Source organism: Homo sapiens, chromosome 1 (assembly GCF_000001405.40).
Source record: "Homo sapiens chromosome 1, GRCh38.p14 Primary Assembly".
Classification (NCBI taxonomy): Eukaryota; Metazoa; Chordata; class Mammalia; order Primates; family Hominidae; genus Homo; species Homo sapiens.
In genome coordinates, this window is record NC_000001.11 from 7,667,656 (window position 1) to 7,689,139 (window position 21,484).

Below are 21,484 nucleotides of genomic sequence, written 5' to 3' on the forward strand. Positions count from 1 at the left end.
ATTAGCAGGCCTGACTCCTTCTGTCCTTTCTGGGCCTGCAGTTCAGCAGCTCGCCACACGAGGGCGGCCCAGGAACAGGAACGCAATGGCAGCCTGGCAGCCTGGCAGCCCAGCAGAGGGAGCGGCCAGCCTTGCTTTTCCAGAAGCCCTCAATGCTTCCAGTTACCCACAACCAAAAGCTGCTGAAATTCAGCTTGATTTGGAAAATGCGCATAAGCCACCCAGCTAGGCCCTTTGGGGCCCCACCTGGCCACACAGTGAGGCCTCAGAGGTTGTGAAGGGCCCCTTCCTCCTTGCTGTCCTCTCCTACCCAGGCCACTGTCTCCACACCACAGCAGGGGTGCCCCCATCCTGGGTTCTACAGGAGAGAGCACCTTCTCTCTTGACACTTCTCTCCCTTTGTCTGGCCCTCGTCCTGTCCCCTCCCTGCCAGCCTGTCTGTGCACTGACTGCATCAGGAGTCCAATCTGGCCAGGTTCTGCCAAGCTCAGGGAGGGCTCTACAGGCAGGCTCGTCGGCCTGGGCCCTACTTCCCAGTCTGCAAAATGGGGTTTGGCTAAACGGTTACTCAGCACCCCCACCCAGCTCTAAACCTCAATGCATCTACCTAGCAGGAATGCGATGGCCGGGGCCATCCTGCTGTCTCTTCTCTGAGTGGCCCTCCCTCCCACAGGCTGCTCCCATTTCTCCTATCTCTGTCCACCCCTTCACCTCCAGCTGCAGCTGGTCACCAACACACACACACACACACACACACACACACACACACACACACACCCACCACACACCCCAGAGGCGTCCCCCTATGCCCCAGCATCTGCCCTGGCTGCATCAGACATGGGCCCTTTATCTCAGGACTCAGAGACCTCAGATGGCATTTCGTGCCCCCTCCCCACCCCCAAAACCCTCCTGCGTCATCTCCCACCACTGACACTCCTGCTGCAGCAGCAGAAGAGCCTGCAATTACAGCCTCAGGCACGCGCGTCACCACCAGTTCAGCGCAGCCAGGCGGGCTGTTGCCATGGGAACCATCCCTTGAATGGATGGATGCTGAGCTGTCCTGCGGCGGTTTCCATGGAGAAGGTCCTGATGTTCTCCAGTAATTTCTGCAGTTCTTTGTTCCCGGCAGCAGCCCCAGCCTCATGCTAGCAGCTGTTGATTGCGGTTATTATTTTTTCCCTTTTTCTCACATGGTAACTGTCTGTGGCCTTTTGAAGTCACTGCTCTTCCACTTCCCAGGATCCTGGGGGATGGTGCCCTGAGCTGGCCTTCTGGTGCTTCCAGACATCCCAAAGTCAGGCTCCACCTGTCCGCCGGCACTCTTCTCAGCCAGGCACCCACTCCCCCCAATGCCCCGCCACTTCCACGGAGCTGCAAATATCCCTGGGCATCAGAACAAGGGATGCTGTGGTCAGAAGGGCCCCTAGCAAGGAGATGCCACCCAGAGAGGCTGGGCCACTTGCCTGAGGACACACAGCTACTGAGGCGCAGGAGCAGGCCTCCTGCTTTTGTTTCTCGGTCCTGAGCTCTCTCTGCTGCCGTAGCAGTAAAGTGACCTCCCAGGCCAGAGCCAGGCTCATGCAAGAGCAGGGGTGGAATATGCTTTCCAGCCTGGGAGAGCCCCTTCCGTGGAAGAAGTCTCTTTTCCTGGCTGGGCAATGGGAGGAGCTACTTCCACCTCATCCCTGGAAACACTCACTCCTGCTGCAGATGCCCTGGGCCAGGCCTGGGTTCCAGGAACATTGTGGGGCGCCTAGGGCAGGCTCCTTGTAGAGGCCGGGGCTTCCTCCAGGGCAGGGGTGGGCCAGGGCCCAGGAGAGGCCAAGCAAGAATGAGTGACTGACCAGTAGGGAGCATCTGGTTGGCACGGAGTTGGGGGGTAGGGAATCACTTCTCTGGCCTGGAGCAGTGGGGAAGGTGGGCTCACAGCAGCTCCTCACCCCCACCTCCCAGGCTCCAGCCTGCCTGGCGGCCTTCTCCAGCCTGGACACTAGGTGGTGCTCTCCGCCCTGACCTAGCAGCTCTCCGCCCCACTGCAGGGAAAGGTGTTTACTGGTTTGGGGGTGGGGTGGATGGCGCCTCTGGGGTGGGTCCACCCAAGGTTAGCCAGGAGAGTCCGGGAGGCCGGCACCCCTACCTTCCTCATCCCCAGGGAGAGCCTCCCTCTACTCAGTGACCAGCCCCTCTCCTCGGCTAAGCCGTAAGTAGGGGACCTCCAAGGTGCCGTCCACCTCGCACCTCCCTCTCTCATCACTAAGCAGGACAATGGCCATGAAGCAGGACTGCCCGGGCCCCGGACATGAGGCCACCCTCCTCCTCCACTTTCTGCAGCAGCCCCAGGCTGGTCGGAACGGGGAGTCAGGGAGTACCCCAGCCCTTCCGATGCTCTCCTGCCCCTGGGCGCCCTGGGAGGTTCCTGAGGGTGGGGTCCTCCCCCCTGGAGCTGAGGAAGGTCATTCGAGGCTGCTCCCAGCCAGGCTGCATGGTCACTGCTTGCTTGTGGGACCCCAGGCTAGCTGTGTAGGCAGTGACACAGACTCAAGGACCTTTGATAGCACAGGGTTGGGGGAGGGGGCAGATGCTCAGCCCCGTTCCACTCCCAGCCCCAAGCTCTGAGCCCCAAACTCAGCTCCCAGGGCAGTCTCTGAGCGTCTCCTTCACTTAGCTCCTTTAGCTCCTCTGTTTCTTCATCGGGCTCTTCAGCCCGTCCTGCTCCAGCCCCTCACCTTGCCATCCCCACAGCCTGGGGATCCTGGGTCTCTCCTCAACTCCCTACAAGAACTTCTGGTCCCTGGGCTGACACGGAGATGCTCAGGCCTGTTTTCAAAACTTGGAGTTCCCTCAGTCTGTCCACAAGTGAATGACGGAGCAAGTCCCCTCCCTGCCCTCGGCTTCCTTCCAGGCCATTTCTCAGGGGCATCGTAGGCTGAAAGGGTTTGCAAAACTCTGCACTCCCTCCTGCCTGGATCTGCGAGTTACACAAAAGGGAGAAGGTCAGGGGTTGGAGCTGCCGGTCCTGGGGCTTCCTGAGGGGCTGGGGAAGGAGCGCCTTGGGCTCTCCTCTTGCTGTAGTCCTGGAGCTGTGGTTCTCAGAAGTCGGGGCTCACTGCAATCCCTGGAGTGAGGGCCTGGGAATCTGCATGGGGCGAGGGGTACAGACCCCCATCTGAGCAGTGAAGCCTCAGGGGGGCTTCCCCATGCTGCCTCCCACAGTGGCTCACACTCCAACTCTGTTCCCCTCTCTGTTCTCTGCAGGGAGGAGTGAAGGTCCTCATCACAGGCCCGTGGCAAGAAGCCAGCAATAACTACAGCTGCCTGTTTGACCAGATCTCAGTGCCTGCATCCCTGATTCAGCCTGGGGTGCTGCGCTGCTACTGCCCAGGTGAGAAAGCCGCCCCCCAGGCCCCCAAGGTGAGTGTGATGGCCTGAGGAGCACTGGACTCGGAGTTGGCCTTGGGGTGACCTTGAGCAGGTCATGTCCTTACTCTAGGCCTCAGTTTCCTCGGCTGTGAAGAAGCGGATCCCCGATAGTCTATTAGAACGTCACCTCCTTTGGCTCAGGGACCTAATATAGGACAGGGACACAGGCACGCTTGACTGGGATTTTGAAGCGAATGTGATGAGAGCACGATTTAGGGCAGGAATAAGCCAGGCCCAGGCGATGTATCCAGGACTGGCCACAGTGGGAAGCGGCCACCACCCTCAGCCCAAAGGGTGACTAGAGCTGGTAAGAGCTGGGGCCAGAGACCACCTCTGCAGCAAGGCGGCCTCTCTGCACCTGCCCGTGCCTCCCATGGCCCAAGCCAACCAGAAGCCAGGAGAGCCCAGGCAATGCAGCCCACACACAGGCTCCATCCTCCCGAGGGCCCTGGGCAGGGGGCAGAAGGCTGGAGAAAGCCTGGCAGGGGCGGAGGGAGATGGGGTGGTGATGGGAGGTCAATCTAACAATAATCAGCACAAATGCCTTTGAGAATGTAAAACAGAGCCATCTACCCTGTGCCCAGAAAAGGTGCATATAATTTGCTTCCAATTTCAGGGGCTCAAAAATCCCCCAAGAAACCCTTGGGACAGCCTCTGTGCTGTCCCTGTGCCTCTGAAGCCCTTCCCCAGGCTCCAGCATTATCTGCTTAGCACGGTGTCCCTGTCTGGTCAACTTGTCATTGATCTCTGGCCATCACTGCTTCCCCACTCGCCTGTCCCATGGGGTCAGGGACTATCTTCTTGATCACCATAGTATCCCCGGGGCTGGCAGAGTGCCGGACATGTCACAGAGGGGGATGGAGATTGTGACGGAATGAATGAGTCTCCAGGCATCTGAAGCCTGTTTCTAGAGCTCATGTCTTCTGCTCCTGGGCTGTTGCTGGCAGGACTCCCTTGGCTGCCCCATCTCATCACCACCAGCCCTCAGGATGGCCTGTCCAGTGAGCCCTGACCATAAACAGGAGGGGGGTAAGGATGCAGGGGTGCGGAACGGCAGGGAGACCCACCCCTGTCCTCTAACGTCAGGGAGCCTAGAAAGGAGAGAAGATGCTCAGTGTAGAAGACTGGGGGTGAGGAGGAAAGGTACGGGGTGGGAGTACAGAGCTGGCCAGTGCTAGGCAGGCCCCAGGGTGTTTCTAGGTTCCACCCAAGGTGGTCCAGCCTGAGCCTTGGCTGCCCCAGCTGTCTGCCACCACCACCCCACCCTTGAACCATGCCCCCAGGCTGGGCCAGCTGAGTCCCACCACCCATTTCTCCTTTTCTCCTTCTCTCTCAGGCTCTTCTTTTTGTTGGTTTTTTTGTTTTGAGATGGAGTCTCACTCTTTTGCCAGGCTGGAGTGCAGTGATGCAATCTCGGCTCACTGCAACCTCTGTTTCCTGGGTTCAAGTGATTCTCTTGCCTCAGCCTCCCTGGTACCTGGGACTATAGGCTTGTGCCACCACACCCAGCTAATTTTTGTACTTTTAGTAGAGATGGAGTTTCACCATGTTGGCCAGGCTGGTCTCGAACTCCTGACGCAAGTGATCCGCCCACCTTGGCCTCCCAAAGTGCTGGGATTACAGGGGTGAGCCACTGTGCCCCATCTCTCTCAGGCTCTTCTTGCAGCCACCAGAGCAGAAAACCCCTGCTCCACAGCTGGCTGCACACTCCGCCTCTGCTTGAACCCAGCACCATCTTCCCCAAAAAGTTCCCAGGAGCCAGTGCAGCAGCCCAAGGTGCCCACCCCACCCCCTGCTGGCCCAGCCCTCCCCTCCCAGCCCCCACCTGCCTGGCTCCAGAAGGCCCACCTAGCTGCCCTGCTCGGCCTGGAGCACAGCCAGCCGGGGTGGCAGCCAGGCCGGGTCTGCCTATCACAGCTCAGGGCTGTGTGCAGCTGATGGGACCCCGGCCCGGCGGGAGTGGCGGGGAGGGCACTGTGGAATTAAACAGTGCACCCATCATCTGCTGCCAGAATGCGACTTGCCTGGCCTATAAATAGATGCCACTTCCTGTACCTGGTTCTCGCCTGGCTAAGGACCAGGGCAGGGCTGCTTAGGTCTGCTCTCAGTTATCTGACCCCTCTACAGAAAAAGAAAGGCTGGGCTTTGTGTGGCCCCGGGGCTGGAGTCAGCCACACTCGGGTCCATCCCAGATCAGCCAGAAACCATCCCTGTTGCTGGAGCTCAGTGCCTGACCTCTCTGGGCCTCAGTTTCTACAGCTCTGAAAACTGCCTGCCAGCAGGGCGAGAGCAGTGAGTGAGAGGAGGTGTGTGAAGCACCTGGCCCAGTGCTCCATTCCTGAAGGGTTCCCATTAAGGAGGCCTTCGCTCTTCCTTTCCCAAGGGGGAGTTCGGAGAGGGTACCAGGGCAGTTTGGGTCTCAACAGGCAGTTCTCCTGGTCCTGGGGCATTTCTGGGTCCCCAGAGATGGCAGGTAGAGTCTCTGCCCAGGCCACTCACCCTCCTAGCTGTTCAGGCTCATTATATGAGCCATAATGTGTCTCGGACCAAGGGACCAGGAGCCACAAGGCTCAAGGCACACTGAGAGCTGGGACTCCCCTGCTAGAGCCAGCACTCTGTCTTCAGCTAACTCCACAAAGGGGGCCTCCTTTGGACATCTCTGCTTTGAGGCCCAAATTGGAACACATTGCTCTGTAAAACAGCACTGGATGTATTAATTCATTCATTCATTTCTTCATTTGCCAAATAACTTTTGAGTAGCCCCTGCTTGCTCTGCACAGAGTAGGGGCCTGGAATGGAGCAAACAATAAGACCCAGCTTCTCACCGGGCCCCTGATCGTAAGGGGCTCTCGGTCCAGGGAGGAGTGCAGTGCGCAAATGAATCACTGCTCCGGAGATGACGCTGGCTGCTTGGGGACCTCATCTTTGGGTCTCCCCAGAGGAATCTGAGGCTGAGCTCGAAGGATGAACACTTGGAAGTCAGAATCAAACTGGCCTCACCAAAAAGAGAGGCTCAGAGGCTTATGAGCACAAGCCAGGAACGACACGGGAGGAGGGGGCACTGGCAACACAGTTGGCCAATGCCCACCCGTCTCCCAACACACCTGCCCAAGCAAAACAGATGAGCAGGGTCCTGCCCTGGCAGCTCCCACACCGTCACAGGTGGCAGGAGACACGCAGGCACTGAGTGTGTCTTCTGCAAGACTCCAGGGTGCTTCAGGGGCAGGAGGGAGCCCACCAAGTTAGGGCAGTGAGCTGAGGGCAGTGAGCAGCAGTGAGTGAGAGGAGGTGCTGGGGAAAAGAGGCGACTCAGGCTTGGGAGAAGATAGGGGAATCCACCAAGAAGACTCTACTGGCCAGAGAGCCCTACTCTGGATTCCTAAGAGGTCACCAGAACACAAAAGATGAAATTCAAAATGAAAGCCAGGCACAGTGGCTCATGCCTGTAATCCTAGCATGTTGGGAGGCCGAGGCGGGCGGATCACTTGAAGTCAGGAGTTCGAGACCAGCCTGACCGACATGGTGAAACCCCGTCTCTACTAAAAATACAAAAATTAGCTGGGCGTGGTGGCAGGCACCTGTAAGCTAGTAGGGAGGCTGAGGCAGGAGAATCACCTGAACCTGGCAGGTGGAGGTTGCAGTGAGCCAAGATCACGCCACTGCACTCCAGCCTGGAAGACAGAGTAAGACTCTGTCTCAAAAAAACAAAAAGCAAACAAACAAACAAAAACAACAAATGAGGTGTAGAATTGGGTTTCAAAACAATTCATTCAACAAATAGTTACTGAGCCGCCATAACATCCTGGGCACTGACCTTGGCACTAGGCATGAAGATTAAGACAGAGCCAGTCCCAGCTCTCATGAGCTAATGTTCTACTGCAGGGAGACAGAAAACAAACAAGGAGAAAAAGAAATAACCAAGATAACTGGTGAAAACTGTATCCCAGCAGTAGAATATGGTAATAAGGTCACCTGGGAAGAAGGAGGTTCCTTCTGGAACATGGATGAGCAGAGGCCTCTCGCAGACTGGGACCTGGATGATGGGATGGAGCCAGTCATGGGAAGTGGGAGAAGCATCCAGGCCAGGTAGAGGGTAGGGGAAGTGCAAAGGCCCTGGGGCAGAAAGAGGTTTGGCAACGTGGAGAATCTAAAGCCTGAGAAAGGCACTGGCTGCAGGATAGTGAGTGGGGTACGGGGAGCTGAATACAGTAAGACTGGAGATGATAGCAGGAACTAAAATAAATCGTGTCCATCTTTCTGCATCATAGGAAGGAGTTTGGTTTGATGTTACTTGCAATGGGAGGCTGTTAGCTTTAAGCAGGGAGTGGCTTGATCTAAATGATGTCTTTAAAGATGATTCTGGGTGTGTGGGAAAGATGATTCTAGGTTGTAGGGAGGAAGAACAGAAGCAGGGAGACCATAGGAAGAAGGCAGAGGGCTGATCTTTCCAGATGTAAGGAGAAGGGCTCCCTTGGGCACCACACTCCCCCTGGTTTCCTGTAGGGGTGCTGGGCTGTGGCCCCCGGTGCTGGATTATGGGCCTCCCGACACCCTCCCAGCAGGAGCGGGTCTCAGGTGCGCTGATGTTGCCTTCGACAGGAGGCTAATGAAGGGGTCTAGGCAACAAATGATGGCGGCATGGACTACAGCATCTGCAGTGGAGATGGAGAGCAATGGATGGACCCAGGACTTGCTGATGGACTGCATGAGCGGGGAAGGGAAGAGCGAGTCCAGGAAGCTTCCTGGGTGATGGAACTGCAGGAGCAGGGCTGCTGGGCTGGGACCCCGGAGACCACAGTAGGTCCCCTCTGCTCCGTCTCTCTGGGAAGGAAGAAATGCCTTGGAGTCTGCCACCATTCCAGCGTTGCTGCAGGTTGTGCACTTGCCAGAAGATGGTGGAAGAGCAGCAGCAGTTGAAGAGGCCATCCCCCCCGACCCCAAGCTGGGACACATTGTCCCAGAGAAGCCGTGAGTTCTCCAAGGCTGGCCCAAGGAGGCTGCTAAGAGGAGCAGCCCTGAGCGGGCTCCGATGGGTGTAGGTGCTGGCCACCTGCCTTCCTGTTGGCAAGCCAGGCCAATCTCCAGGGCAGGCATGCGACCACAAGCTTGGAGACCCGCCCAGGGATGCCAACAGAGCCATAGCAGGTTCTGGACTTGGCCGGGGCTCCCTGCCCAGGCACCTCGGAGGTCCTATGTGACCTCCACTGTGGAGTCCTTTGGTTCAGGTTGTGGCCTGGAGCTGAGGTTCCCAGCCAGGGTGGAAAACACAGAGGAAAAACCCATGGGTCCCCTTGGACAGTGACTCCCGAAGGCCTTCCCTGGGGACAATGGCAAGATGGCTGCTGCCTTAACACATCCACCCAGGATGGACAGCGGCCACCGGTCAATGAGCTGGTTTTCCCATCGGGACTGGGATCTGCATCAGAGTCCTCGGAGGAAAGATGGAGCTCTGCTTGTCCTAGGGAGCGGCTGGCTTGGACGGCTTCCTCGACTCTATAAGCTTCTGAAAACCAAGGGCCCACACAGTAATGTGATCCCCACGCATGTCCTCCCTGGAAGTCTGTACTGGGGAGGCCCTGGGTATCAGTATCTGGTATTCCGGAAAAGCAGGGCAGAAGGCACAGAACCCAGACATCTGCCAGGGATGAGGCCTGGCGGGGCAGTGTGCACACCCACCATTGCCCACGGGCCACCTCTGTGGGCCACAGGCCAGCCCCCAAGATGCCAACATGAGCCATGGAGAGGCAACCTCAACCCAAGAGCTGAAGCTGGTCTCCACCGCAGGCTGGCTTCGTCTTACTCACAGTGAGAACATACCTCGTTTATTCCACAAATAGAGTTATTTGTTGAGCCCTGTGTTGGGGCCACAGCAGTTAACGAGACCTGCCAGGGCCCTGTCTTCCAGAGCTTACTGTCGGGCCACTGGAGGGAGGTGCAACCTTCACATCAGCATCCCCAGCTCAACACCCACTGGGGCTGAGCTGGGGCCAGGGTAACAGAGGCACATCTGAAGCTCCTTCATCGGGGAAGCAGAAGAACTAAAAATACAAGGGATGGCTGGCTGTTCATCGAGTCAGGACAAGCTTGTAGGAATAGGTGAAACAAAATAAGCGCAAATAAATCCAAAGCAAATTTTGTACCCGAGCCCCACCCAGGAAGGATGGGACAAGAGGGGAAGTCAGCCAGCCATGAGGCAGGGATGGGGGCCATTCACTCATTCACTTGTTCAGCCAGTCTGTACTGAGCACCCAGCTCCTGCCCTCACTCGGAGGACAAAGCAAAGGGGCAGTTACGTACCTGGGAGTGATCACAGGACAGCTGGCTGAGTCTGGGCGAACCAAGAAGGTTCCTAGAAGCAGCATTGTGTTTGGGCCTCGAATGAGCAGGCATAGGCTACCATTAAGGAGAGCTGGACATTAACCAATGAAGGGTAGTGGGGAGGGGACATTCCAGGCCCTGTGTGGTTCACCAGGCTGTAGGTACCCACCCATCCCTTGACCTGGTCTTTTTCTCTCGCTTTCAGCCCATGACACTGGTCTTGTGACCCTACAAGTTGCCTTCAACAACCAGATCATCTCCAACTCGGTGGTGTTTGAGTACAAAGCCCGGGCTCTGCCCACGCTCCCTTCCTCCCAGCACGACTGGCTGTCGTTGGACGGTAAGAACAGTGCTTGGGTCGTCTTGCCAGGCACCAAGGGAGAGGGATGCTTGGGGACTCTTGCACAAGGTGTGAAAGAAGAGTAAGCACCCAGAAAGGGGCAGGAAGTGGTGCCAATGTGAGCAAAGGAAGGCCGACTGGGTCTCCACCGCCAGGCTGAGTGCCTATGCTGTCAGCCATTTGTGTCTGGACACTGGCTGGCCCCACCCTCAATCTCAGTCTCTCCCTGGGACAGACTGAAAAGTATGTGAGTGTGGGCCTGTGGCTGGCACGCCTGCTGGGCTGTCTGAGTGGCCAAGCAAGCCCAGGGCAGCTAAGAGGCTCTGGCGAAGGACCCCAGGCAGCAAGGTCCAAGCACCCGCTGTGCCCCTCCAGGCCTGTTTCCGCGGGCTCCTGGAAGCAAAAAGGGTTCCCAGAGGCCATCGCCAAGCCCCAAGCCTCTCGAGAAAGAGGACGGGGAGGCAGCTCAGGCCTGGGCTTCTTTCGAATTTGGGGGCTTGCTTCTGCCTTTTGGGGCTAACCAGCCAAATCTTCTCCTGGAAGCCCTCAAATACCCTCAACTCCAGCTTCTTGGCTGATTTTAATTCCACCTCTGGCCTGTACGGCGTCTGTGGCAAGCCCAGGATCACGACTGTGGCAGAGGGTAGAGTGTCAGGGACCCCAGTGGGCTTCAAGGGAGCAGGCAGGACCTGGTGGTCAAGGAGAGGCAGGGACTCCAAGAGCTGCCAGCCTTGGCCATGGGGGTCGGTGAGTGTTGGTGGTTCCCCTTGGGGTACCAGGGGCTCTGCAGAGAAGAGCTGCCAAAGGCAGGCTGGGGACGCCAGAGCCAGAGGCTGCCATTTCCCACCTGGGCACACGTCAGGAGGCCCAGAGCTAGCCAAGGCCTGGGGGGCTGAGCCCAGTACACTGGGGATGCGGTAGGAGGGATGCCTGTCCATAACCTCAGTATCAGGTGAGCCCACAGAGGTGACACTCCATGGGGTACCTTGCTGGAGACCTTGCTAGCCCAGGATGTTGAGGTCTGGGCTAAGCTGAGCCTGAGCCCCTTGCAGGGGTGGGTTCTCCAAGCAACACCCCCTCACGCACCCCGCACCCACAGCTGGCCTTCTGGGTCTCACCTCTCAGACTGCCCCTTGCTGTTGGCTGCTGGAGGATTTCTGGGCTTGGGTACATAGTTCATTTCCTGAACCACCCAGTGTGTAAACCTCAGCCTTATCCCAGTCCCTGCCCCAGCCGAGAGAGAGGGTGCCGACAGCTGCCCTGGCTGGTGAACCCTCAGGAGACAATTCCCTGGGGTGGCTTTGGGTCTTCAAACCCTAGCATGGGCTGCCCTGGGGCACCGAGCTGCCCTTGGCAGCATCTCTGGCTGAGGCCGGAGCCAGGCAGAGCTGTGATGACCACCCACAGGATGTAACAAAGAAGGGCAGGGTGACCAGGGGCTCCCGTTTAGGAAATCTGGTTTTAGTTTTGCAGAACAAATGGGGAATGGAGTCAGGAACTCTCCAGAGCTCTGGCTCTCCCTGAGTGACTTGGCCGGCCTCACTAGAATGAACCCAAGGATGCTGGGACCACTGTAGGACCCTGCCTGGCAGATGGAGCCTTTTCAGAGAGCAAAGTCACAGTCAGGCAGTGCCCCAGAGCTCAGGACACATCTGCAGGCCCCCTGGAAACCCAGAGAGCCAGCTGTACCCCAGAAGCTACGGCACGGGAGGATGCTGCCATAGAAACCGGGGGGAAGGGGAGCCACCCAACTGCTTCATGACAGACACACCCCGGGACCTCGGCCACCCCAGGCCCCTCGAGATGGGCCTGCCGCCAAGCTGGGCACCTGCTCCCTAGCTGCCCCCCCCCCCAGAACTTTGAGCTCTGAACTCTGTGGGCCTCCAAGTTGAAATAAGCACCCCTGCACCTGCAGGATACACAGGAGGGTGACAGGAATTGGGGCGGCGATGACATCAAGGCCTGGGCGTCCAGCAGCATCGCCTCTGTTACCACCAGCCAGGGCACAGCTAGGGGAACAGTAGCTCCGCAGCTTGGACCCCCAGCTCAGAGCGCCCTGCTGAACCAGAGGGGACCAGCCTGGGGTCCACCTCGGCCCAGGGGCCCTGCAGAGAGCAGATCAGGGCCCTGAAGGACGCTTTCCTTTGGTCTGGGCCAGTTGTCCTTTCAAGGAATGAGTGGGAGGCAGGGACAGAGGAACTGCCAGACCCCACCTGGCTGGGGAGAAGCGGGTCTTCCCTGGCTATTCTTTTTCCCCCTAAATGAATACAAGGCACTCACCCACCCAAGGGCCCAGCCTTCCCAGCCTTTCACCAGCTTGATAAATACTAAGGGAGGGGAGGGGAAGCAGCGCCGCAGTCGCAGCGCAAAGGGGGCCGCGGGAACAGCTAGTCGGGAGCGCGGGGGTCCCGGGCCTCTGGCCAGCCACGGGGCCTGGCCATGAACTTTGCGTCCGGGCCAATGCTGCAGTGGCCGGGCGGTGGTGAGCCTTCCGTTCCCCGCCTGTCCCTCCCGGCCCCTCCCCTCGGTCTCCGCAGCTTCTCGGCTCAGCCCCTCCCGTCCCCGCGGGCGCTGGGCCGATTCTCCCTCCGCGCTGGCCAGGCCGTGGAGACGGGTTCGCCGCGGAGAGGGGAGGAGGGCTGGGGAAGGGGTGGGCGCCAGGGGACTGCAGCGCGGAGCAAACTGGGGCACGGCTGCCGGCGGCGCGCGTGCACACACTCTCTCCCACGCGCGCGCCCTCCCGCCGACGCGCAGCCGCAATGCGGGGCCCTTCGCGGAACTGCTGGCGGCGCCGCGCCCCGCGGGGTCTGGGGCCCCAGCAGGGACTGCGAGGACCGCGGGACTAGGAAGGCCTGAGCCCGGCCACCCGCCTCCGAGTGCGCCGCACCGTGCGGCGGGGACCACAGGCCTTCGGTGGGCGGCGAGCCCTGGCTCCCTCGTTCGGTGGCCTCTGCTGCATGTGGGATGCGCCCTTTGTCCCCTCTGCCATGCGCGGGGGAAAATGTTTGAGGGCGGGGAAGAGACTGTCTGCCCTCATTTGATCTAAAACATGAATTTGTTTGCTTGGCTAAAGGCCGGGGGGGGGCGTGGGTCCGGGGCGCAGAGAACACGCGCGCGCGCGCGCGCGCCAGCAGCAGCAGCAGCAGCAGCTGCTGCGGCGAAGTCTTTGTCCCCGCGGCGCAGCCTTTGTCCCCGCGGCGTAGCTTTTGTTTGCGCAGCCCCGCCCTGCGGAGGGCGATCGTCCCCACGTTGGGGCCGGGGGGCAGGGACCCGACGTCCCCAAAATCTCAGCTGGGGCGCAGCCATCCTGGGAGAGACCGGGCGTGGAGATGGGGGAAGGTGGGAGGAGGAATCGCAGCCTTCTGGATCCCGGAGCTGCAGCGCCTCCCCCAGACCTAGGGGTCTTCCCCTCCCTTCCCCTGCGCCCCACTGTGAGCTCCAGGGTCAAAGGCCCTGTCTGCTGGACCCCCATCACTTAGCCCAGGGTTGGCACGTGGTGGGCTGCAGTACATATTTGTGATATGAATGCAGGCACACGTGAATGAGTGCAGGAGGGACTGTCAAAAAGCTGAATCCAACTAGTGGTAAGGAAGGTTTCACAGAGGAAACGACCCCCTTGGTGAGACCTGAAGCCTGAGCAGGGTTAGCCCGGGAAGAGGGGGCATCAAGGGTGGCAGGAGAGGGAATGAGCGGCTGCCTTTAACCCAGGGTCTTCGGGAACTGCCGTTTTCACCATTTCTCCTCCACCCACAAAGGTGCGGATTCAGAACAAATTTCCTCTGTCCTGACCTGACCCCAGGCCATTTGCACAGGACCCCAGGGAGGTCTGAGCAGGCCAGCTCTTCATACAAAGATGCAAGGGGGACCTCTTCCAGGCTAGAGGTAGGCAGGCAATGGGGTTTACCCTGGAGACCCACTGGGGAGGATCTCTGGGAAATGTCACTTATACCTGTGATAGGTCCTATGGATACAACAGCCAGGGCCGTGCTGAACTTCAAGAGGATGCTGTCTGTGTAGATTTGGCCTCGCCTGTGCCTGTGTTTACAAAGAGAATAAACCCAGGCAGTTCAACACTGCAGCCCTGGAGCTGAGGGGATGGGGCGGGCCCTCTTCTGGCCAAGGACACTGGGACACCTTTAAGTGACCTGGGTCCCTAGAAGAGAAGGTGAGCGGAATTTTTGTGTGCCTCTTTCTTGTCTTACAGCATCTGATTCTCCCCCAAGGCCAAGTTGAGAAGATTTAGGGTACCCTGTCCCCACCCCCACCTGCCGGCCCTTCTTGGAACCCCACTAAGCCGCTTAGACTTAGACTCTATTTTCAGTGCTTCTCAGGCAACTGAGCCTCCTTGCCTGGGTGAGAGGATTGGAGTGAGACCTGCGTGCAGCTCCCCTGGGCTTGGCTGGTCTCCTGGGCAGGCCCCCTTCTGGCCTCAGGGGTGAGGGGGGACCCTGTCATCTCAGGCAGAGCGGGGAGCATGGACTAAAAGCTCAAACTTCATTATCCAGTTGCCTGCTTCCTGGGCAAGCCTCAGTGTAAGGTGGGTGAGCCCAGACAGCTTGCCCCTGCAGCTGGCCAGAGACAGACGGGGTTATCCTGTGACTTCTGGGGCAGCCTGGCCCTGGGGTAGGTGTCTGGGAAGACTGAGAGCCTCGCTCCTGTCTAAGCAAGTGGAGAGAAGGAAAGGCCTCTTGGTTTGGCCTTCTGATCCGTCCACGCTCTCTGTGCTAACAGATGGAAGATGTGTCTCTGGGGCAGCCCCTAGCTCTGCCCCCACTTCGGAGCTGCCACCTTAGGTGTGAGAGGGCCTGTCCCTGGCATGTGGCTGTGGTCCTGCTGGCCTTTCCTTGTGGGCTGATTCTAGTACCAGCCTCCACCCACCAGAGCTGGGAGATCACACACTGTCCCAGAGTCCAGGGGTACATTCCAGGGACAGTGGGAAAGGCCATTCTAGCTGGGACACTGGTCCCTGGGAGGCCTCTGGGTGCTTCTTCCTCCAATGGCAACACTCCAGGGCTTTCTGCTGAGTGGGCCTGGGCCGGCCGCTCCTAGGCTGGCTCCCTCCCTCAGATCCACCCAGCCCACCTCCGAGCAACCCTCAGCTGGCCCATGAACACATCGCATGACATGGGATGCTGTAAGAGAACATACACAGAGTTGGCTGGGTGCGGTGGCTCACGCCTGTGATCCCAGCACTTTGGGAGGCCGAGGCAGGCGGATCACAAGGTCAGGAGATCGAGCCCATCCTGGTTAACACGGTGAAACCCCGCCTCTACTAAAAATACAAAAACAAAATTAGCCGGGCGTGGTGGTGAGCGCCTGTTGTCCCAGCTACTCGGGAGGCTGAGGCAGGAGAATGGCTTGAACCCGGGAGGCGGAGCTTGCAGCAAGCTGAGATTGTGCCACTGCACTCCAGCCTCCAGCCTGGGTGACAGAGCGAGACTCTGTCTCAAAAAAAAAAAAAAAAAAGAACATACAATGTACACTGAGAACACATTCCAAAGGCATCACTTGTCCCAGATAATGGAAGACAGAGGAGCAAAAATTATTTCCTTGCTAAATAATGTAAAATGCCTTTGCTTTACTAAAACCAATACAGTTTGTATTGTGGAGCAGAATACAAAATTCACAAGAATTTTTCAGATTAGACAGTATGGGTGAATGGTCTTGACTTCAAAGAGCTACTTTGAATTACACCCATAGTGAAAGACTGGAAGCCCCCACCTACCCTCTCCCACCTCCGGGAGCTCTTTAGGGGAGCTGGAGAAGCACTGACCCAGGGGTCACCCAAAGGAAGAAAGGACGCCCACCCCACCGAGAGCTTTCTGGCATCCACCTGGAGTGGGGACTGGGGCCAGCACAAGCTGGTTAGCGCATGGGCCCCTGGGTACTTCTGTGCATAGCAGTAACAGGTGACAGAAGCAGCTGGCGTGAGCCGGTCTTGCACTCGGGACCTGAGGCTGAGTGGCAGGAGTCACGTCCTCTCCGAGCCCAGCCAGTGCCATGCTCCAAAGCACAGGGCCCTCCTCGTAACCCGTCTCTCGCTGTCTGTGGGGCCTCCGTCATTATACATTGCGGTGGGTGTCTGTCAGCTTGGGTGCATGTGCTCCCCAGGCCTGCTTTCCTCAGCACCGCAGTGGGTGGGAGTCGCATCAGCATCCAGTTTGGGGAGCATCTTAGCCATTGGGGCTCCTAAGGAGCCAGCTGTGCTCCTCAGCCAGGACCAAGAGGTCTGGTCCTCAGATCCTCCTGGGACAGTGACTTCCTGCCATTTGCAGCTGGAGCCACACCAAGCAGACCTGTGTGGAGCTCCTCTGTGTAGCAAGGAGTGGGTCACCTTGGAGCTGGGTCCCATCCGGCCTCCTTGGAGCAGTGGCAAATGGTGCCCTGCGGAGAAATGGCCTTTAGGAGGAAGCTTGCCTCTCAGCAAAGGCCGAGGGGCAGCCTTTGCCACCCTGTCCTGGCCGTTGGGGCAGGAAGCAAAGTTGACTCTGTGGAGGACGCCCCAGGACTCGGGCAGATGCAGGCTCCTCTCCCAGGATTGGCTTCCCTGCCACCTGCGGGCCAGATGGCTCCTTCCAGAGTGTGCATGACTATGGCAGCTCAGACCCTCCAGGGGTCAAGATCAGCCAGCTGTTCCTGTGACTGCCAGACAAATGCCCACCAACTGGCTGGCTTCACACAGAGATGTGCTCTCACGGCTGTGGAGACTGGAAGCCAGAGTTCAAGGTCCCAGAGAGCCGTGCCCCCACCAAAGGCGCTAGGGAGGGACCCTCTCTGGCCACTTGCAGCTCTGGTGGCTGCTGATCATCGTTATGGATCCATGGCTTGTGGCAACAGAACCCCAGTCTCTGCCTGCACTGTCCTCCCTCTGCGTGTGTCTGTGTCCCTACTTTCTTTTAAGGACACCAGTCATTGGATTAAGGCCAACCCCATCCGGTGTGAACCCGTCTTAATGAATTACTAATTACATTTGTAATTTACTAATTACAAAGACTCCATTTCCAAATCAAGTCCCATTCTGAGGTTCCCTGTAGACATGAGCATTTGAGGAACACTGTTCAATGCAGGGCTCCATATCTTGTAGGCTTAGTCCCCAGGGCATGGTCCTGGGCATGATCCCAGCCGTCAGGCCTCACTGAAGGCAAAACTGACCCCCAGAAAATACCAGAAGCCTCCTGAGGGTTTGTTGTGCACGGGGTTCTGCCCTAGGTGTTGTGAGAAGCGCAGTGAAGAAGCCGCGCAGGTTAGGCTCCGGGGACTCCGCGGTGTCGGGGAGTTCACAGGCACCGTCCCGCGGTCACAGGTGGCATGTTTTGAGGAGTTCGCAGGCACCGTCCCGTGGTCACAGGTGGCGTGTTTTGAGGAGTTCGCAGGCACCGTCCTGCGGTCACAGGTGGTGTGTTTTGAGGAGTTCGCAGGCACCGTCCTGAGGTCACAGGTGGTGTGTTTTAAGGAGCATCACAGGAAGTACAGTTCCGTTCAGTGTTTATTGAGCATTTACTATATACACAGCAATACGTATTTAGGGAAGGATGCAGATATGGGAAAGATCAGTTCCTGGCTTGGAGGAGCCACTCACAGGATGCCCTCCTGTTGGAATGCTCAGGGACGGCCATGGGGCAGCAGGATAGGGCGGCCTCCCACAGCCACCTGCCATGAACACACTGACCAGCTTGGCTCCTGCCGAGACCACAGCACATCCCTGTGGACCCCACGGCCTGATTGTCTTCATTCCACTTGAGGACTCCCAGCCCCTGTGTCCCCATTGATGGCCCCTTCCCCAGGCGAAGCCCTCTGGCTCTGGGCAGTGCGATTCTGCCCCTCCCTCCCACTCCCCTGCTTGCTCCTCAGTCTCCAAGCTTCTCCTTCCAAAATTCTCTGTCATGTCCCCATGGCCGGCTCTCTCCTGACTACTCTCTTCTCCCTGCCCACGCTCCCTGAGGGCTTCTTCCCAGCCAGGGCTCGCTCTCCCACCTACTAGGGTGCAGGGATGGCTGCCCCTCTGTTTGTCTTCTTGGATCCAGGCCATCCATCTAACGGCCTACAGGGCAGCTTGACCCACGTTTCTCTTGGGCAAGCCAGTAGGTCCCAGACAGGACAAATGGCCGTTCTTTCTGTTTTCCCCAACCTACCTCTCTGATAACATTCCTGACCCCTGTGGATAATCCCACCCAAAAACCCAGGAGTCACCCCTTGCTCACTCCCTCCCCGACATCCCAATACTAGCCTAGCATGTTTCTTTCCTTTATTTCTCTCACATTCTCTACTTCTCGCCATCCTCTCTGCCACCACCTTAATTCAGCCCAAACTAATCAATTGTGCACGTCCTAACCAGTCTTCCCACCTCCTTCCACCTGGGCTGCCTGGTCTTCCATCACCTGGTCAACATGGACTCGGCATCTGCTGGGTGCCAGGCACTGTTCTGGGCTCTGGGGAATCCTTATTCTCCTGTAGTTTCTATTCTAGCGGGGGAGAAAGACAACAAACAAGATGCAAAGGAAACTGTCAGATGTTGATACCTGCTGGGCAGGGAACTTCCCCTGGATGGTCTGGGAGAGGGTACCAGGGCGGCTGCTTTATAGGCCAGGAGAGGTCAGAGGAGGCCTGTATGAGAAGGTGATATTCAAGCTGGGGTATGAGTGACAGGCAGGGGCCAGCCACAGTAAGACCGTGGGGGGAATATTCCAGGACAGGGAATCAGGAGCAAAGCCCCCAGGGAGAGGGCAAGCCTGGCGCGTTGGGGGAGCTGCGGTCAGAATAGAGGAAGGGGAGGTGGAGGGGGTTGCGGGGATGGGAGAGGGCCAGGGGGTTCAGCAGAGGCCACATGGGATGCATCACCAAGAGTAGGGGGCTGGGCTTTTATTCTGAGGTCAGTGGGGAGCCACGGGAGGGGCGTTGCCACACACAGGTGTATGTTTGCAAGAACACCGCAGCTGCCACGTGGAGAATGAATTGTGTCTCCACCGGCACAGAGACTACTCCAGGGCTCTTGCGTCCGTTCGGGCAAGAGGCGATTGTGGCTCTGACAAGGCCGGAACAATGACTCCTGAGGGACAGGGTGGGTTTGGGGTTGTTTGGAGGTGAAGTGAAGGGCTCTGCTGATGATTTGAATATGAAGAACGAGAGAGGACAATGAGTAATAATGCCTAGATTTGGGGCTTCAACCACCGGAGGAACAGCAAACCATTTCCTGAGATGGAGAAGTCTGAAGAAGCAGCAAACCCAAGGGGATAGGGGAATCTAGTGTTCAGTTTTGGTCACGTTACAGCTGACAACCTCATTAGAGATGCGGGGTTCACATTGCGGTCTGAAAGTCTGGAGGCCAATGAGAGATCCAGAATGGAGATGACGTTTAGGAGTCCTCCGCGTGCAGATGGCGTTTAGCGCCCTAGGTCTGAGCACGAAGACTCCGTGAAACAGCACAGATGAAGCAGAGGAGAGGCTGCAGGATCAAGCACAGGCTACCCTGGTATGAGGACACCAAGCAGAGGAGGAGCTGGCCAAGGAGGGAGGGGGACAGCCAGTGCAACGGAGGGAAACCAGCAGGATGTGACCCATGGAGGCTAAGAAACGAAGGTGTTTCAAAAAAAAGGACGTGGTCAGGCAGGTCAGATGCCAAGCAGGGAGCTGGGTAAGAGCCCTCCAAGCAGGGGGAGGTGGGTAGGAAGGTCCTGAGGCAAGAGGGAGCTCCACGGATTTGCAGAATTCAGAGAAGTGGCTGGAAAATCCAGGTGACACGGCACCATACCTGTCTCTGAGCTCAGAGTCACAGCCTTCCACAGTGTGGGGTCAGATGAGAAAGGGCAGGAGCCTCCTGGACTCTTGCCTGGCCCAGGAGATCGCGTGCCTCCCACTGCCCCATCCACTGCTCGTTCAGCAGAAGGCAAGGCCCCGTCCCCTGCTTTTCCCATCTTGCACCTCTGGTGTTGGTCTTGCCAACCTTTTGATAGGTCCGTGGGCCCCAGGAGGGCAGCTTCTGTGTCCCTGGGCTCGTGGAGATGTCCCACATCTGTTCTGAGTCCCAGAGACAGATTCCTTCTTCATGGCTCCCCGCTGGGGAGCAGGGGCTCCAGGTGAGCCCCAAAGCAGGAACAAACTGTGATTCACCCCCAAACACTGTGTTGGTATCAGACCTGGTGGAGACAGCTCCAGGGCCCTGACCACTGGTTGTTGCTGGGTGCAAGAATCGTGCAGATTCACCGGAAGCCTGCCTGGCAGGCCTGCTCAGGCAATTACGCCCCAGCTCCTAAATCGATTACGTCGGACTCTCATTATTCCTTTTTTTTTTTTTTTTTGGCAGAGTCTTGCTCTGTCGTTCAGGCTAGAGTATAGTGGCTCCATTTCAGCTTACTGCAGCCTCTGCCTCCTGGGTTCAGGTGATTCTCCTGCCTCAGCCTCCCAAGTAGTTGGGATTACAGGTGTGCACCACCACACCCAGCTAATTTTTGTATTTTTAGTACAGAGTTTCACCATGTTGGCCAGGCTGGTCTCGAACTCCTGACCTTAAGTGATCCACCTGCCTCGGCCTCCCAAAGTGCTGGGATTACAGGCGTGAGCCACCATGCCCAGCCGGACTCCCATTATTCTACCACAGCATTTGGATGTGGGTCAGCTGTTCCACTAAAAGCACAGCCTTGAAGAAAGGCCTCTTGGCAAAGCTGGGACCACAGAGAGACCGGTCAGGGAATCTGGCTGGTCCAGGCCAGCAATGGGCTGACATCCTTAGCCTTTACTGGGATTGGGCTCCCAGAATCCATCTCCCTGGAAACCAAGGGAGGTGCCAGTCTGTGTGTGCAGCTGCCGGGAGAAGTGGTCCTGAGACCCAGAACACCCACCATGGAGAAGAGAAGACACAAGTGCTGGTTGGGGGCTAGGGCAGCCTCTGAGGGGATGTGAATTCCTAGTGGTCCTGAGCAAGGTGAGAGGACACCCTTCCCATCCAGTCCAATGCTCAGCCTCTAACTGGGGCCAAGGACAAAGCCCTGTCCTTTCAGAAGCTCCTAAAAATACACATATCTCTGACCCTTCTGAGCAGCCCAGCAACCTTGTCCCCCACATCTGTGACACCAGGACATTCAAAATAGTCTTTGATAGGCTGAAGACTGGCTCCCTCCCCAGCAGTAATCTGCTGAAACTTTGCACCTGTTGTGAAATCAGAGTCCTTTGTTAGGGGAAAAACAGTGAGAGGCAGGTATGTGTCATATGGACCATACTTCATGAATAACAGGAGACTTTTTAAAAAATCAGGCCGGGTGCAGTGGCTCATGCCTGTAATCCCAACACTTTGGGAGGCCAAGGTGGGTGGATCACATAAGGTCAGGAGTTCAAGACCAGCCTGGCCAAAATGGTGAAACCCCCTCTCTACCAAAAATACAAAAAGTAGCCAGGTGTGGTGGCACAGGTGGC

The 21,484-nt window shown here is 57.8% G+C and overlaps 1 protein-coding gene across 34 annotated transcripts in view, besides 2 other annotated features; it reads left to right on the forward strand.

The window, feature by feature from the left end:
• The window catches only part of CAMTA1 (calmodulin binding transcription activator 1), a 984,253-nt gene that overhangs the window by 882,202 nt on the left and 80,567 nt on the right, over positions 1-21,484 (forward strand). For 24 of the 34 annotated variants that reach the window (XM_011541084.3, XM_011541083.3, NM_015215.4 and 21 more), the window contains 2 exons: positions 3,256-3,382; positions 9,944-10,078. In XM_011541084.3, the coding sequence (XP_011539386.1) occupies positions 3,256-3,382; positions 9,944-10,078 (262 nt within the window). Of the gene's footprint in view, positions 1-2,074; positions 2,201-3,255; positions 3,383-4,329; positions 4,450-9,943; positions 10,079-12,432; positions 12,561-21,484 lie in introns of those variants that run through there. The other 10 variants (XM_024454334.1, NM_001349614.1, NM_001349620.1 and 7 more) reach the window with 4 other exon arrangements.
• Positions 166-355: an enhancer, noted in NCBI's record as "active region_90". NCBI's record gives its function as "activates an Ori minimal core promoter by ATAC-STARR-seq in GM12878 lymphoblastoid cells {active_cell/tissue: GM12878}" and the evidence as "EXISTENCE:reporter gene assay evidence [ECO:0000049][PMID:35858748]".
• Positions 1,524-2,370: an enhancer, noted in NCBI's record as "H3K27ac-H3K4me1 hESC enhancer chr1:7729239-7730085 (GRCh37/hg19 assembly coordinates)". NCBI's record gives its function as "activates a minimal SCP1, AML or CMV promoter by ChIP-STARR-seq in naive H9 embryonic stem cells {active_cell/tissue: H9 hESC(naive)}" and the evidence as "EXISTENCE:reporter gene assay evidence [ECO:0000049][PMID:30033119]".